At 32.9% G+C, this 16026-nt stretch overlaps 1 protein-coding gene across 1 annotated transcript in view; it reads right to left on the minus strand.

Moving 5' to 3' along the window:
• MEOX2 (mesenchyme homeobox 2) overlaps positions 1294-16026 on the minus strand; it is a 75472-nt gene continuing 60739 nt past the window's right edge. Inside the window, exon 3 of the mRNA NM_005924.5 lies at positions 1294-2693. Within this exon, the coding sequence (NP_005915.2) occupies positions 2469-2693 (225 nt within the window). The 3' untranslated portion in view covers positions 1294-2468. The remainder of the gene's footprint in view (positions 2694-16026) is intronic.

A 16026-nucleotide genomic window follows, 5' to 3' on the forward strand; every position in this document is an offset into this window, starting at 1 on the left:
AATTCTCTAATAAAGATATGGCCATGATACAAAAACCTCCCATTTCCCGAATGTTATATCTATTCGGAATCCCTTTTTCCTATTTCATTTTCTTACTACATTGGAATTCTTACGTCTATTTGGCTACAACCATTAGCTCTCCTTTTAGCTACTTCTAAGGGGTCCTTTTCTCTTATTTCTGGAAATTATTTTCCTGCCCAAATGAATTATCCTCCACTTTGTCCCTATTGAACTCAATTTGATTCATATCTTCCCACTTCACTAATTTGTCAAGATGTTTTGAATTTAAATCCTCTTCTACAGTAAGAAAGTCAGTCCACCCAAGTAGATGTCATCAGCACAAGCAGACTTTGTATTAATTCAGGTGATTAATGGAAAAGTGTCTGTTTCATGCCTGGGAGACCTCAATTCGAATGGTCTATTCTCAGTTAATTTTAAAATACTGACAACTACTGAGGTAAAATGTATTACATGAAAGGAAAATGTGATACAAAAAAATTATTTATTTCTGGGATACTCTCTATATATCACGCTAGATTAAGTTAAAATATATCAAATTAATTTTTGTCAGTCTGATCATTCTAAAGCAAGTGTAATCAATTAACTGATGGGTTTTTGGAAATTTTTACTGATTGTTTTTCTGTATTTGTTTCGGATTGAGGCAGGGGAGGAAGGCTGGCAATGTTTCCAAGCATTTCTGCTTAGAATATGAAACAAATGAAAAACAATGTGATAAAGCTATAAGTAGGACTAAGGCACCCCATGCGTGTGCAATCATGCATGATGCAAAATACATTATGTTAATAGCATCCTTTACTTCTTGCATTAGTCCCATTAGAACTGAGGACTCTGATTAGCTTCTTTAGCTTATATTTCACATCAGAGACTCTGCATATTCAGACTATAAAACCACTGTTGGATTAACTTACATATATCAGACATAACTTTAAAAATGTATGACTATTTTATTTTCCTCACTGTGGTGAATACTATTATTTAATACTTTTTTCCTACTTTTATCTGTGGCTTCATAAAACACACAAAAAAATCCATTCACTGTATTCTTCAAATTAGAGAAATAGCTTAATATATGCCCATTCTTAGGCGCCCTTTGATTACACAAGGATTTATTTTTTTCCTGCCATAATAAAAAAATTCAGAAATGAAAAAATGTAAATAATCCACTAATTATAATCATCTGGATTTGCACAAGTGCAGATAGATTTGAGACTTTGTTAATCATTGATATTGAAATCTATAAAAATTAAGAAAATTAATGTAGGGAGACCAAAGTTATTTACAAAGGATCATTTATTAAACACATTTTAAAAACAAAATACAAAGATAGTTGTTCTGCATGAATACATCACATATGAAAAAATAATGTGTTTTTACCGAATTTAATTTGAAGATATTCAGAATTTTGTTTTCTATCAACTTGAGCAACCAGTTTCGCTTTGCACCTTGTCTAACACTGTTGTCAATCAGGAAGAAATGTTTTCTTGTTAATTAAATCATATTCATACAGCTAATATTTTACAGAAATAAAATAAGACAATGTCTGTCATACAAAGCTCTTTCTGCAAGGTAACTGATTTGCCTATGATCCTAATTGTTTTAAGCTATAAGATAGGAAGAATTCAGGAGCTAGGTAAGTTTTATAATAACGTATTAGCAGCAGTTGATAGTAAATGCAACATAAGATTTGTTTTGTCTGTGGTACAAGAATATGTCCTATCAGACTCTACTGTATTTTTCTCTACTTGAACACAGGTAAGCACATACTGATTGTCTCTGGGATGACAAAATGTATAAAAAAGACAAGAAACTGGCTCTGGTTGTCATTGTGAGTGCCTATTTTCATCAGCTAATATGAATGCATTGCTAAATTAGTGAAGACAGGAAAATGACTTAAGGGTAATATATACAGAGTTAAAATACACTTTTTATCCACTTGAGTGAATTCAGGCACTGTGGCTGTTCAGGATAAAATGTTTCATGGTTTATTCTTGATAGCAATTTAATTTTCAGTGCAAGCAAAAGCAAATACCTGCCCACTGTAATACACATGATCTCACACATCTGGAATGTTCAATGCAAGTTCATCCTCGGCATCTTCACTCTGGAGACATCTTGAATAAAAAACCGTTCATAGTTTGCTCTTGATAGCAATTTAATTTTCAGTGCAAGCAAAAGCAAACACATACCTGCTCACTGCCATACGCACGACCAAACACATCTGGAATATTCAAAGCAAGTTCACCTTCTCCATCTTCACTGTGGAAGCTCTTTAATAAGTGGCACTTTGTGTAAACCCTCTATAAATCATGAAAAACAGATTCGAAATGCCTGGATTTAATAATATTAAACATCACTGCCATAGTCATCTCTCTGTGTAAACGATATTTGGGTAAGGCTTGCCATCACAACATTTCTTTCCTGAGAATGGAGCTGGTCCTCTGTTTATATCATAAGTGCGCATGCTCTGAGCTGTGGTCACTGTCGTGACTGTCTTCATTTGCTATAGAGTCCCCTGTTTGCTGGAGGGTGGCTGCACCAATTCCCGACAGCTCTGATGGGAGAAGTGTTCCCTTTTTCACATTCACCAGTTCCTTTTCCCGAGCCGCAGCTCCTTGCTGTCCACCCTTTACCCTCTTCCACTTCATCCGCCTGTTTTGGAACCAGACTTTCACCTTCAACCAAGAAAGGGAACAAACAAACAGAAAAAAAGAGATAATTAAAGTGACATTTTTTTCTCCTTAGTGTCATCAATGAAAAGAAGTTCCTCAAAGGCTTATACAAAGACACCATGAAGGAGTGAATAGAAAAATAAATCCACGTTGAATTTAATCAGGTTACATGTTCATGATAATAATTTTTAAAGTTTCAAAAGGTGCATACAAAGTACTATATTTGTATTTTACAGCATACAATGTAAAATATGGAACTAAACAAAAACTTTGTCATTTAAGGCACTCAAAGCACTTGCGTCTATAAAGAGCTTCTGTGAATTGGAGCTAACATAATATTTGTGTTGGTCAAAGCCCCCCACTCCTAAGTTCTTCTTTGATTTGACATCCAGCTGTCATTTCCTGAACCAATTTAAAACATGCTCCTGCAGCTACTGATTAAGCGGCATCTGAAAGGCCATACTCTGCCATCAGAAACTACTGCTGCTTTCACAAATCTTTATTTGACCATTCCACCTCACACTGAGCCTATCTTCTTTTGAACTCTTCTTTTTATTTTCTACCTTAATTCATTTATTTTACTTTGCAAATATTTGATCTAGTGATTTCTTTAAAATATGGTCACAATAAAAAATTCTCAACATTTGTTAAATGCTAACACCAAGATTATATACTACATCATTCACATCAGCTTTGTACAGGTATTTTCTTTTTAAAAGCTTCATTGAATTTGCCTAATACATTTAAATAAATATATATATTTAAATAACATATATGTATTAAAAACAAAAAAAACAGCAAACAGACATTAAAGGTCTATACATTATCAGAACTAGAATATAATTGGCATTATTGCATCTTGTTTAGGAGGAAATCTGTTTCTTTCACATTGCATTTCTCATAATTATAGCTTCTAGCAAGCAAAGTGTTCTTTTTACATTGTATTTCTCTGTCTACCCCACCTAAAAGTACCACAAGCCTGAATTTTGTGTGTCACCTCCAAGTCTTTCTTAAAAAAGAAAACAAATTTTTTTCATAACAAGTAATATTAAAACTATACTCTTTAATTTTATTTGTTTGTTAGGTTTATCAATGGAATGTTCCTAAGTGTAGGCTTTTTGCCACATCTTTGTTGATTCAAAAGACTCTATTTATTTATTTTTTATCATTGTATAATATTCCAAATTCTGTCAATATAGCACCATTTTTCTGTTCTACCATCCATGGATATTTGAATTCTTTTTTTTCTATATGTAATGCTGCTATAGACATTCTTGCATTTGTGTCCTGATAAGCATATCATGGGAACTTCCCTGGAGACTGCAGTTATATGGCTGCTGCTATCTATCTTCTCTCAATGTATGCTGTTTCTTTTTCCTTTTCTTAGAGTGTCTTTTGATGATTAGAAACTCTTAATATTAATTAATATGTTTAAATTTATCTATTGTTTCTTTTATGACTAGTGTTTTGTGTTTTCTTTTTCTAAAAAAATCTATTTTCTGAAGCCAGTAAGATATTCTATTGTGTCTTCTTCTAAGAGTTTTAAAGGTTGCCTTTTCCAACACAGTGGGACCCTGTCTCTACAAATAAATAGATAAAATAAAATAAAATAAAATAAAATAAAATAAAATAAAATAAAATAAAATAAAATAAAATTAGGTGGGTGGGATGGCATAGTGCCTGTAGTCCCAGCTTCTCAGGAGGCTAGGGTTGGAGGATTGCTTGAGCCCAAGTGGTTGAGGTTGCAGTCAGTGGTTGTTGCACCACTGCACTCCAGCCTGGGCAACAGAGCAAGATCCTGTCTCAAAAAGAAAAAAAAAGTTTGCCTTTCAAACTGAGGTACTTAATCAATGAAGTACTGATTTTAGTATATAGTCTGAAGAATAGGCTTAACTTTACTTTATTTTAAATGGATAACACATTGTCCCAGGTCCATTTATTAAATAACCCAGCTTTTTTCCAGTGATCACTGTTTCATCTGTGTTCATAAATCAAGTTTCCATATATGCATAGCTTTATTGCTGTATTCTGTTCTGTTCCTTTATTAATTTTTCTATAGTTTTGATAAAACCACATTATCTTATTAATTATAATTTTATAATAAACCTTTATATTTGCTAGGGATAGTTCTGTTTCATTCTTCTACGTTAGAAATATTTTGAATATTCTCTATTTTCAGTTTAGAAATAATTTCAATTTCTGTAAATAGTGCTATGGAGACAGTGAAGAAAAATATATTAAATTTCCAAAGACATAATTATATCAGTGATCTTCAAATCACGATGCTTCATCAGCATGCTTTCACAGTGAAATATTTAAACTGAGATATTTCTCTATTCTGGATTTTTCTTGGTCTCACTTAGAGCCATAGTTGAAATCATGTATCATATATTGCCCAAACATGTATTAATCAATTTGACAATAAAAAATAAGAAAAAATAGTACAAAAAAGATTCACTAAAAAGTAGTTGACGGGTGTTCACATATTATTATTACTTACTAAACAAAATAATCAGTAATTCCCTTTTATTATATACCTATGTAGGGATAGACAGCTATACTATTGGTGCTGTTTATACAGTATTCTAATACAGTTTTCCAGATATTATTACCATTATTCTTATGTTATAGATGATAAAGTTGAGGTAAAGGTTAAGTGACTTACCTAAGATTACACAGAAAGGAAACCCTGGTGCCAGGATTTAAACGTGAGGGCTGGGGTTTGTTTGATTCCAGATTCTGGGTTTTGTTTTTGGTTTTTTTGTTTGTTTGTTTTGGTTCCTGTTATATTTCAATCTCCTATTTTTAAAGCATTTGTAATAAAAAAAAAGCATATAGAGTATGTGGACGCCATCCATGTGATTACTATCATTCAGGTAATTCTCCCACTTGATATAATTAGGTTTGTAAATATGACACTATTTTCCTGTATTATAATTTAGGTAATTACGCTACTGAGTTTAATTACCTTTGCAAGCTTGACATTGTATTTTGCATTAGATCTATTCCACATGAGTTGGGTTCTACTCTTGGCTTTACTTCTCCATTTTGTGTGAATTTGAGAAAATTTTACTTCTCTCTACCTCAATTTTCATATTTCTAATATTGGAATCATAAGCCTTTCAAGATTCCCTATAGGGATATTTTCTCATGGACAATTCCAGATGGAAGAAATACATATGTCATGATCATCATCATTGTCACCAAGAGCTGAAACATTCAGTCTAAATAATCCTGGCAGAAAAAGAGGAGAAATATACTTTTAAAAATCCACATATATTTCTTTTTCTAGGAGAAGGGATATAGTAATTATATAATATCAGTATAAAACCTGTTATGGGCAATTCTAAATAAGATAATTCTAAATGTAAGAATATGGTATTGATTTTAGATATATTATGGCCTATTTTGTGTTGTTTTCTATGTCTATCGTTGAAATTTTACCATTTTATTTTTTAAAATAGATTGAAAAAAGACTGAATAGTTAATTGCCAACAGTAGCTACATGTATATACATATGAATAGATATAAACATATAAGAATATGCATTTGATTATATAGAATAACTCTAATACCTTATATACTATTTTATTTAAAACCTAGATTATATATTTGATACTGAAATTCTGTGATCTTAGCAAGGAAACAAAAAATTGCAACAAATACATAATGGGCATATCTTATAGAAAATAGAAGGAAGAATATAGAACTCTAAAAGTCAATATGTTCAGATTTATTTTCAAATATACTATAAAATATTGGAGTGAATTAAAATAAATGGAGAAGGATTTTTGGAAAAACACACATTTTTCTATTAGCATCACGGTATTAGCAATCCCCCCAACAAAATCTGCAAATTTAATTCCAGGTTATAAATCAATATTGTCATTAATGTAGGACAGTAGTCAATTTATAAATAGAGACTTCATAGTATAATTTAGTATCACTTTATTAACCCAGCTTTATTGACTGTAATGAAAAAAACTTTTAGTTTTTGTTTTTAAGACAGCTAAATTATCATCATCCAAATGCCTAAAATTTTATTTACTAAAAAATAAGTATTTGAATTATTTTTATTTAAATTTATAAGCACATTTTATATAATAAGATTAATTTATAAACTACACAGAGTACAAGAATTCTCACATTTCCTTGGTGACTTGGGATCTCTATTCATTCATTCATACATTTAAAAATATTACCAAATGTCCAGTAACCTGTACTGTGTTAGATCAAAGATGGGAGGTGTTGAAGCACAAATAAAACATAGTCCCTGCCCTTAAGGTATTCACGGTCAAGAAAATGGAGGAAATGTAAATGTAACTTATTTGGCCATCACATTACACCCTTTACCATGTAAGTTCACACCTGTCCTTTTAGGTTTCACAATATATTACCAGACAAAAGAAGTGACTTATGAATCTGTATTGTCACACAATTTCCTAAGGTGTCCTGAGGCAAATAGGTTGATAGAAAGTTGAATCTATATAATGCAATAACCCATATTTATGTAACACCATAAATGTCTGTGTTTTGAAGAAAAAAGCCATAACATCAAACATCTGGATGAAAACTAAAAATTTCAGTGACATAGCCAGATGCCTCTAAACATCTGGGATTTGTAGATTTAATATTCCAACTGTTTCCATTTTTATCTGGGCACTTGGAATATTGTAGACATTGTCTAACAAATATTTATTTATATCTTTGAGATGTGAAAACATGCAAAGGATAATTGTACAAATAAAATTTTCAGATTTGATCACATCCCTAGTGATTAAATTTGATCATGGCAGTGTATCTAGTAAATCCAAAGACTAGCCTAAGTAATTCATTAACAAAGTAGCTGAACTACAACTGATTTAGTAGTATTAGAATTAGAAGCAAGAATGCTTAAAAGTAAAGGTGAAAAATGGGGAAAAGAAAGCTTTTTTAACTCTTCCTGAATAGATGGATTTATATCTGATTAAGAGAAGGAATTCTTCAGCTATTTCCAAAAGCTTATTGGAGCCACTAATTGACTCTGTTGTTTCTACCACAATTAAAGGGTGTTTGTGTGTGTTGGGGAGGCTGTGGAGGGTTAGGATATACTTCATAACTGAAGGCTTAAGTCCTGTTTACAGGGCTGCCTCTCACCTTTATCCACTGATTTAGCACATTGGGAATCATTTTCCTACCTCTGTAATTTTTAGTTCTGAAGCCTCTTCTTTTTCTATTTCCAAGTCTTGTGGATCAGGCTCATTAATGTAATCATAACATTTAAAATTACACATTTCATATGTTTTTAAAACAAAATGAATACACATTAGCTATAGACAGCCATGGACAAATAACATATTGAACAAGGATTAACCCTTTCTTGGGGCAACAGATTAAATTCCCCACGACAGATTTGAATCTCACAGGCACAATTATGAGCCAACCTTATACTCTCACTCTTCTTTCCAAAAATGAACCGAAAGCAACCATTCACATGATAAAGCAAAGTGGTTCTATGATTGATTCCTTTTAACTTGGCCTTTAGTAAACCATTGTTTTCCTTTATACCTGGTAAAATTCAACTCGAATGGCTTCTTTCACCATATTTACAGTAAAAATTCACTATTCTTAATCCCATTTTTACAGGAGATAAAAAATAGACACACCTTTTAGTTATTTTAAGTAAAATATTGTTTACTCAAGTATTTCATGAATAAAAGACTATATCAAATTTAATGAAAATATCAAAACTAAATTAGGCACTTTTTTTCTTTATTGTGTTATAAAATTACTGAATAGCAATACCTGAAGACATGGAATTTGTATATTCTGAGCCACTACTTCATGCTTATCTTGTTCAAACTACTGAGACCAACTAGAATGATGGTCTTTGATCTCAACATCTTGCCCAATCTCTTGGCTCATGTTTAACAATAATTGGCAACATAATACCATCAATATTTTGGCTAACAGCTTCTAAGTATAACTTATCGAATATAAATATTTAGCTGAAACAACGGAACTAATCCTTTATATAAGAAGAGTAGAATACTGAAATATTACTATGATTCAATCTAAATTTATATTCTGATTTTTATTAATATTAAATTAATATTTTGATTATTTATGATTGTTTAAATTCTTTATCAGAATCTATGTGACACTTTACTGCCCTGGTTATTTCATTTATCAGATTTAGAGACTATCACCTTAGATCCAAGTTTATTATATAAACTTATAAAATTATTAGTTCTGTGTGAGTATACACTGACCCATAGAAAAGTCAATAATTTTAATAACTTCAAAACCGTCAAAAATTTAAAAATATACGTTCATCATAAAAAATTGGAAGTGACAAAGGGATCTGAAGTTCAAAGTCTATTCTAAACTGAATGCATCTCTGAGTTTTTCATGAGGAGACATAGAAATATGGAGAATAATTGGTACAAAGTCGTTTATAGTCAAAGTCTCTAGAAAATTGTCAGTTCTCTTAGGCCTGGGTTTATTATTGTATAGATGTCACAGAACATATGTATGTACTCTTCTATATAAAGATGTAGATAGTAGAAAATTTTCTTAAAATTGACAATGCCAACACAAAACTTGCACGAGCTTCTCAAAATATCTAGAAGCATCTCAGTTTTAGAATTTTTTTTAACATGAATAAAACTTATGGATGCAAGAATAGTGTAGAAAAGGAATGCTGGGAGTGATCTTTCATAGCAGAAGTCTCTTTCTTTAGCAGTACACTCTAAGTGATGATGCTGTGATGTAATGTATGATATGTTCCCTAACATTATTGTTAATTTGTTGATTACATATAAATTAATATTTTTGCTTCCCTAGTGAGGAAACTGAGAAACAAAAAGTGGAAAATTCTTAGACTCCTGGGAAGAATTATCTTTATCCTTTTATTATACCAGCTTGATGAACGTTTACAGCAAGAATCAGAGGAGCAAATTTCAGTAAAATCTCTAAAATAAAGGCTCATTTTATTTGTGTGTGTGTGTATATATACACATATGCAAACACATACACACATATACACAGATATGTGTGTGTGTATATATATCTATAGATAGATACATCTCCTTACCTCTAACTATACATATGTCTACCTATCTACATCAAAAGAAAGATAGCATTTTAAAAGAAAACAGATTATATATTCTTAAGGCCAGTTCAATAAAGGTAACGTTTATTTTTCTTTGGTTTTTAAAATATTATTTGAAATTTAAATATTTACATTTATTAGGGATGAGTTACTTATTTCTTAGTCTTTTACTTTATACAGGTAATATTTCTGAAAATTAATTTTAGGTTAAAACATTGTTTGCACCGAATAGATCTTGCTTTATTATTGATCTTAAGTTACTTTTCATGTATCATAACCTTTTTTGTGTGGAAGCTGAAGTAGTTTTGAGTCTAGTTTTTGATGCTTACCAATACTGTCAATATGTATTTATTTATTTAAATAAAAGCATTATCAGGAATGTCTCTTTATATTTAATATTAAAATCCCCTCTCATATCCCATCGTCAACTCTTTTACCCTTTACTCTCCCCATTTTACCAGTTGTAGTCAAATTATTCTTAATAATTGTCATATCATGAGTTAAGCAAATAAAACATCTTACTGTTTCTCTAGATGACTCCTATATACTGCTGTAAAGAAATAAAGAAATATTCTAAAGTGTGGCTACATAGGTAGACTTGAATTAACATGAATAGACAATAAGTCAACTCATGGAGACATAATTAGCTAAGTAACTAAATGTATACATTTGTAGAAATAAAACTATGAAGCAGAGAGATTGTGTAAAATAGCTGAGCAAAACGGGCGTGGTAGCGGGCTCCTGTAGTCCCAACTACTCTACTCGGGAGGCTGAGGCAGGAGAATGGCCTGAACTCAGGAGGCGGAGCTTGCAGTGAGCCGAGATCAAGCCACTGCACTCCAGCCTGGGTGACAAACAACAACAACAACAACAAAAAAGCAAAACAAAAAAAACAGCTGAGCAAAAGACAAAACCACTCTTTATTTGGCACACAAAATATTTCTCTTTAGTAGTCATCAAAAAAATGATAGCTATTTTGAAAATACTTGGCATTGGGCCATTTGATGATTTATGAGTAAAAAACAAAACATAATCCCTCTCATTTCCACCAATGGAGTATGATCTCGTTAGGTGGGATTTTCCATTTATCTTGGCAGAAGTATCATTAATTTAGTCTGTTTATTCCAGTAATCTTAACTAGTTTACAAGTCTACAACATTACACCTTTGATTAGCTCTGTGAAAAAGATGTTTTGAAGTGAAAGGATCTCCCATTCTGTCTATATTTGGCAGCCTTAACTCTATAAAAATGTCCATTTTACCACTTCTTTTATATGCTCCTGCAGCTGCTTTCTCTCGTCTTCCCACTGTGAGATATTAAAAATCTGGTGGGAGTTTTCTCCAAGTTTATCTGGATGGAGAAAAAAACGCCAGAATAAGCTTGTCCAAATTAAAAATACCTTGAAACTGGAGAGCCTTTAGACTGAGTTCTCTGCAAATCATTCGGGGTGACTCTGACAATTGAAGATTATTATCTGTTGATCTTGAAGGTTATATGAGAATATGTTGTAAACTAGAAGCTGTAAGTTAGAAGCTAGAAGATTTACTGGAGTGATCTGTAACTGTTCAACAAACAACATTATATAATTAAAATATTTGAAGCTCAGCTTCATTCTAGTTTCTGCATTTTTATTTAACATAAAATGATTTTCTTTAACACTTGTGTGCTAACATGGAATTACTTTGCAGAATGAGCCTCTTTTTTTCCTTCTTTGGCCAGATGAAGTTCAAACAGAATTATAGACTACCCTGACATTGCATTATGGAAGATGCAAATGTAAGAGTGTGACATCTTTGTGTGATTCCATGACTATTCTTCAGAATGGAATTTGGAAATTCAAGTCCTGAGTGATATTTAAGGATTTAATATACCTTATGTTTTTCTAAAAGGAAACCTAATTATTATTGCAAATCTTCATGACACATATATGAGTCATCATAAAATTTGTGTTGGATATACTGATCGGTGATATAAGTAAGGTAGGGGTAGCCACAAATAACATCAGTGATAGACATGCACATTTTATTGTCAATCATGTACAATTTCCACATGACAATATGTCTAAAGACTAGTTCTGATTGTAAAGTAAGTTTTCATTTAGGAGAAAATTATTTCTCAAAAACAATTCTGTTACAGGCCAGGTGCCATGGCTCAAGCCCGTAATCTCAGCACTTTGGGAGGCCGAGGCTGGTGGATCACGAGGTCAGGAGTTCAAGACCAGCCTGGCCAAGATGGTGAAACCCCGTCCCTACTAAAAATACAAAAAATTAGCCGGGCATGGTAGCAGGTGCCTGTAATCCCAGCTACCAGAGAGACTGAGGAAGAGAATTGCTTGAACCCAGGAGGCGGAGGTTGCAGTGAGCCGAGACTGCACCACTGCACTCCAGCCTTGGTGACAGAGCGAGACTCTGTCTCAAAAAACAAACACACAAACAAAAGCAATCTTATTATATAATTTAATATTTGTTTTCCCTGTTTGCATGATATCTTTCTTTTGATGTAGATAGATATACATATAGTTAGAAGTATGGAGATGTGTATATATTTATATGCATACACATACATATATATCTGTGTATATGTGTGTGTATGTGTTTGCATATGTGTATATTTACACACACACACATAAAATGAGCCTATGAGTCCTGTCTCTGCTTTTGAATCACACACCCATATAAAATGAGCCTATAAGTCCTGTCTTTGCATTTGAATTTCAAAAGACCTTGACAATGTTAAGGAAACTATTTTATATTCAAATAATTCTATTAAAGCTAAGGAAAATATTGAACAATATGAGGTTAGATGTAATATTCCTTGGTGTATATGTTTATTTTACTGAATCTCAGGTTATTTTAACATATGAAAAAAATAAGTCTTAAAGAATGAATATGAAAAGACAACATATCTATAATTAGATATTTTACATGTGGAAATCCTAGGGAAGGATGTTGTTTAAGATTATATAGGGTCAAGATATAGATTACATGGCTAAACATAGCATTTATGAGATTAATATAAAATCTAAGTAATGGAATAGCCATGCTATGGTCTAAATATTTATGTCTCCTCCAAATTCTTATGTTAAAATCCTAACCCTCAAGGTGACGGCATTAGGAGATGGGGCCCTTGGAATGAGATTAGGTCGTAAGAACAGATCTAGCATTACTCAGATTAGTGCCCTTATTAAAGAGGTCCCAGAGAGCTACCTAGCCTCTTCAGCCATCATATCAAGGTAGAATGGAAAAATGGAAGTCTATGAAGAAGTGTGTGCTCACCAGACACCGAATCTGCTGATGCCTTGATCTTGGACTTCCCATCCTCCAGAACTGTGAGAAATAAATGTGTGTTGTTTATAAGCCACCCAGTCTATGGTATTTCATTATAGCAGCCCCAATAGACTACAAGCTGCATTGCAAATTACAGAAGATGGATTTTAAAGTGTTCTGTTTGTAATTCTGTTAATAACTTTAAAACCCCAACCTCCAGAAAATAAACTGAAAATATTTCACTGGGATGAGAGCCCTGGCATTTTGAAAGAATATGCCATCTGACCTTCAAGAATAGCAAAGTTGACAACTGACATCATAGTATATTTTTTCTGATAAATTCAGCACAGTAAAATTCAGCCCAGAAAATACAATATAACTTAAAATAGACACATAATTTAAGTATGTGATTTTTTTTTATATACAGAGTCTCACTTTGTCACCCAGGCAGGAGTGCAGTGGTGCAAACTCAACTCACTGCAACTTCTGCCTCCCAGGCTTAAATGTTTCTCCTGCCTCAGCCTCCCATGTACCTAGGATTATAGGTGCCTGCCACCACGCCTGGCTCATTTTTGTATTTGTAGTAGAGACGGGGTTTCACCATGTTGGCCAGGCTGGTCTTGAACCCCTGACCTCAAGTGACCTGCCTGCCTTGGCTTCCCAAAGTGCTGGGACAAGTACAGGCTTGAGCTACCACTCCCAGCTTGATTGTTAATTTAAGATATTTTGTGCACAGATTCTTAATTTAAGAAACTTAAGATAATATGTGTGCATAGAAATGTTGGAATGAAATGGTGCAACCAGAAACATTATCCAATACAATTACATCATTCCTCTCCTGTGACATTCTACACTCATAACAATTGTGAATATTTGTTCAATTTTTACCTCTTCTATGAATTCTAACAGGTATTTCTTTAGCTTAAGATTTTACTTCCAGCACTTAGCTCAACAAATATTTGTGTTACAAAATGATTAATTCAACATGCTTTGCATAGCAAAGGTTTTTCCCACCTGGGTGATAATTCTGTTTTATAGTTTACACTAAAAATTATTTCATACCCATTATGATATACAAATCTACATAGAAGAAAGAGCAGGTTTTAATTTCCATTTTATGCCTTGGGGAGATTGTTACTTACTTAAGAACACACAATTCTAATCAGCAAACCTTGGATTTTTATTCAGATTTTTTTCATAACAATTAAATTCTTTTTGACTAACCCAGGGAGGCCCTCTAAAGCCTTAGTTTTGATTAGGAATTTAAATTCTGCATGTATACATCTTTTCACATTAACTTGCAAAACTGCACGTAGAGATTTATGGAATAAAAATATATTGTGCACAATAACAAATTTTCAATTCAATGAAAACTGAACTATCTCTCATGTTCTGTGTTAATTTCCCCCCTGTGATGCTGTGGTTAGATTATTTCAGGAATGACTTCCAATGAAGCGATCTTGTCCTACACTGACACTGAGTTTGGTCACATGGCTTGCTTTGGACAATGGGACACTAGCAAATATGACGTAAGAGGCCTGAAAAGCCCTTGCTCACCGGAGTTTTCCCCCTCAGTGCTCCTGGGAATGCTTCTATCACCATTGGAAGGATCCCAAGCTAGCCTATAAGAAGATGAAACCACAGCTGAGGCCCAACCATCTCTTTCTTAGTCAGCCCACCAGCTGACTGGAGCTCCATGAGGGTTCCATGTAGGGCCAGCAGTATTACTGTCCAACTAAGCCCAGTCAAAATCTCTAACCTACAAAACCTAAAGCAAATAAAACTTTGGTTATTATTTGAAGCCATTAAGATTTGGAGTGGTTTGTTACACAGCAAAGGGTAACTAACACAAAATGTTAAAAGAATCTTTAAAACAACATTAAAATAGTATGTATAGGTATATATAATTCTTGCATGTAATTCTTTACCAAGCTCCTGAAGTCAGTTAGAAAGAAGAAATATCCAAGACACCTTCAACGTTTTCAAACCAGATTTACAAAACTGCTTCTAAAGATAAATGATTCTGCTCCGTGGTCAAACAATGACAGATAACCGTAGACCACCCCCAAAATGTCAAGTACAGAATCTTGTTTTTCCTCTTGGCTGAGAGCACAGTACTGGATCCTGTCATTTCTACAGATTGGAAGCAAATCCTAGTTTCCTAGTTCCTTCATCTACTATATAAAACACGGTTGCATTTCCTAGAATTCACCATCTCTATATAAGAACATTAGTGTGTAATTCTCCCTCCACATACACCTTTTTATTTTCCGTTCCCTGTTTAAAAAAAATAATAAAATAGAGGTCTGATGATGTAGACTTTGGATCCTGCTTTCCAGCATGCCAAATGTTGAACCCATAGAGGGAATTTTGTATGTGAAGTCTAAGGGAAGGAAAATGCTGTGCTCCATAACATAGGTACTAGTCATAATATGTAATAAAATACAAACTGCCAATAAATAAAACCACAGAAAAGTGTTCCTCTGTATATTTCTACTACCCATAAATAACCTACCAAAGCTGAAATGTAAAAATTAACAGAAGGAAAGCAGGTCATTTAAGAAATTGGATAAAATAACTTGCTCTCTTAAGACATGCATTCATTTGTCCACACCCTGTTGATATTTCTTTGGTTCCAATGGGATCCTGGAGGAGGTACACACAGTGAAAGAGGAAATGAGACTCTAGCCCTAAGAGTGCCAATCATAACTGCACTGTCCATAAAGATGTTTGCATTTGCCTTTCAGGAATGTTTTTGTAAAGATTAGCAACTGTTAACCGGCAGTAGGCTAGATTCTCCTCAGGGAAACAAGAATCTGTACAAGGAATTCACTGGGAACACTGTTAGAACAAATCATTTGTCATTCAAAAAAAATGCAAGAAAGGGACCTAAAAAGCAATTAATTTAAAAATATTATTTAGGTCTCATTAATTGGAGTCCAAAAACATTAATAATTTCAAAGTATTCTCTGAGTGG

The sequence above is a fragment of the Homo sapiens genome, chromosome 7, assembly GCF_000001405.40.
Source record: "Homo sapiens chromosome 7, GRCh38.p14 Primary Assembly".
In the NCBI taxonomy this organism is placed as follows: Eukaryota; Metazoa; Chordata; class Mammalia; order Primates; family Hominidae; genus Homo; species Homo sapiens.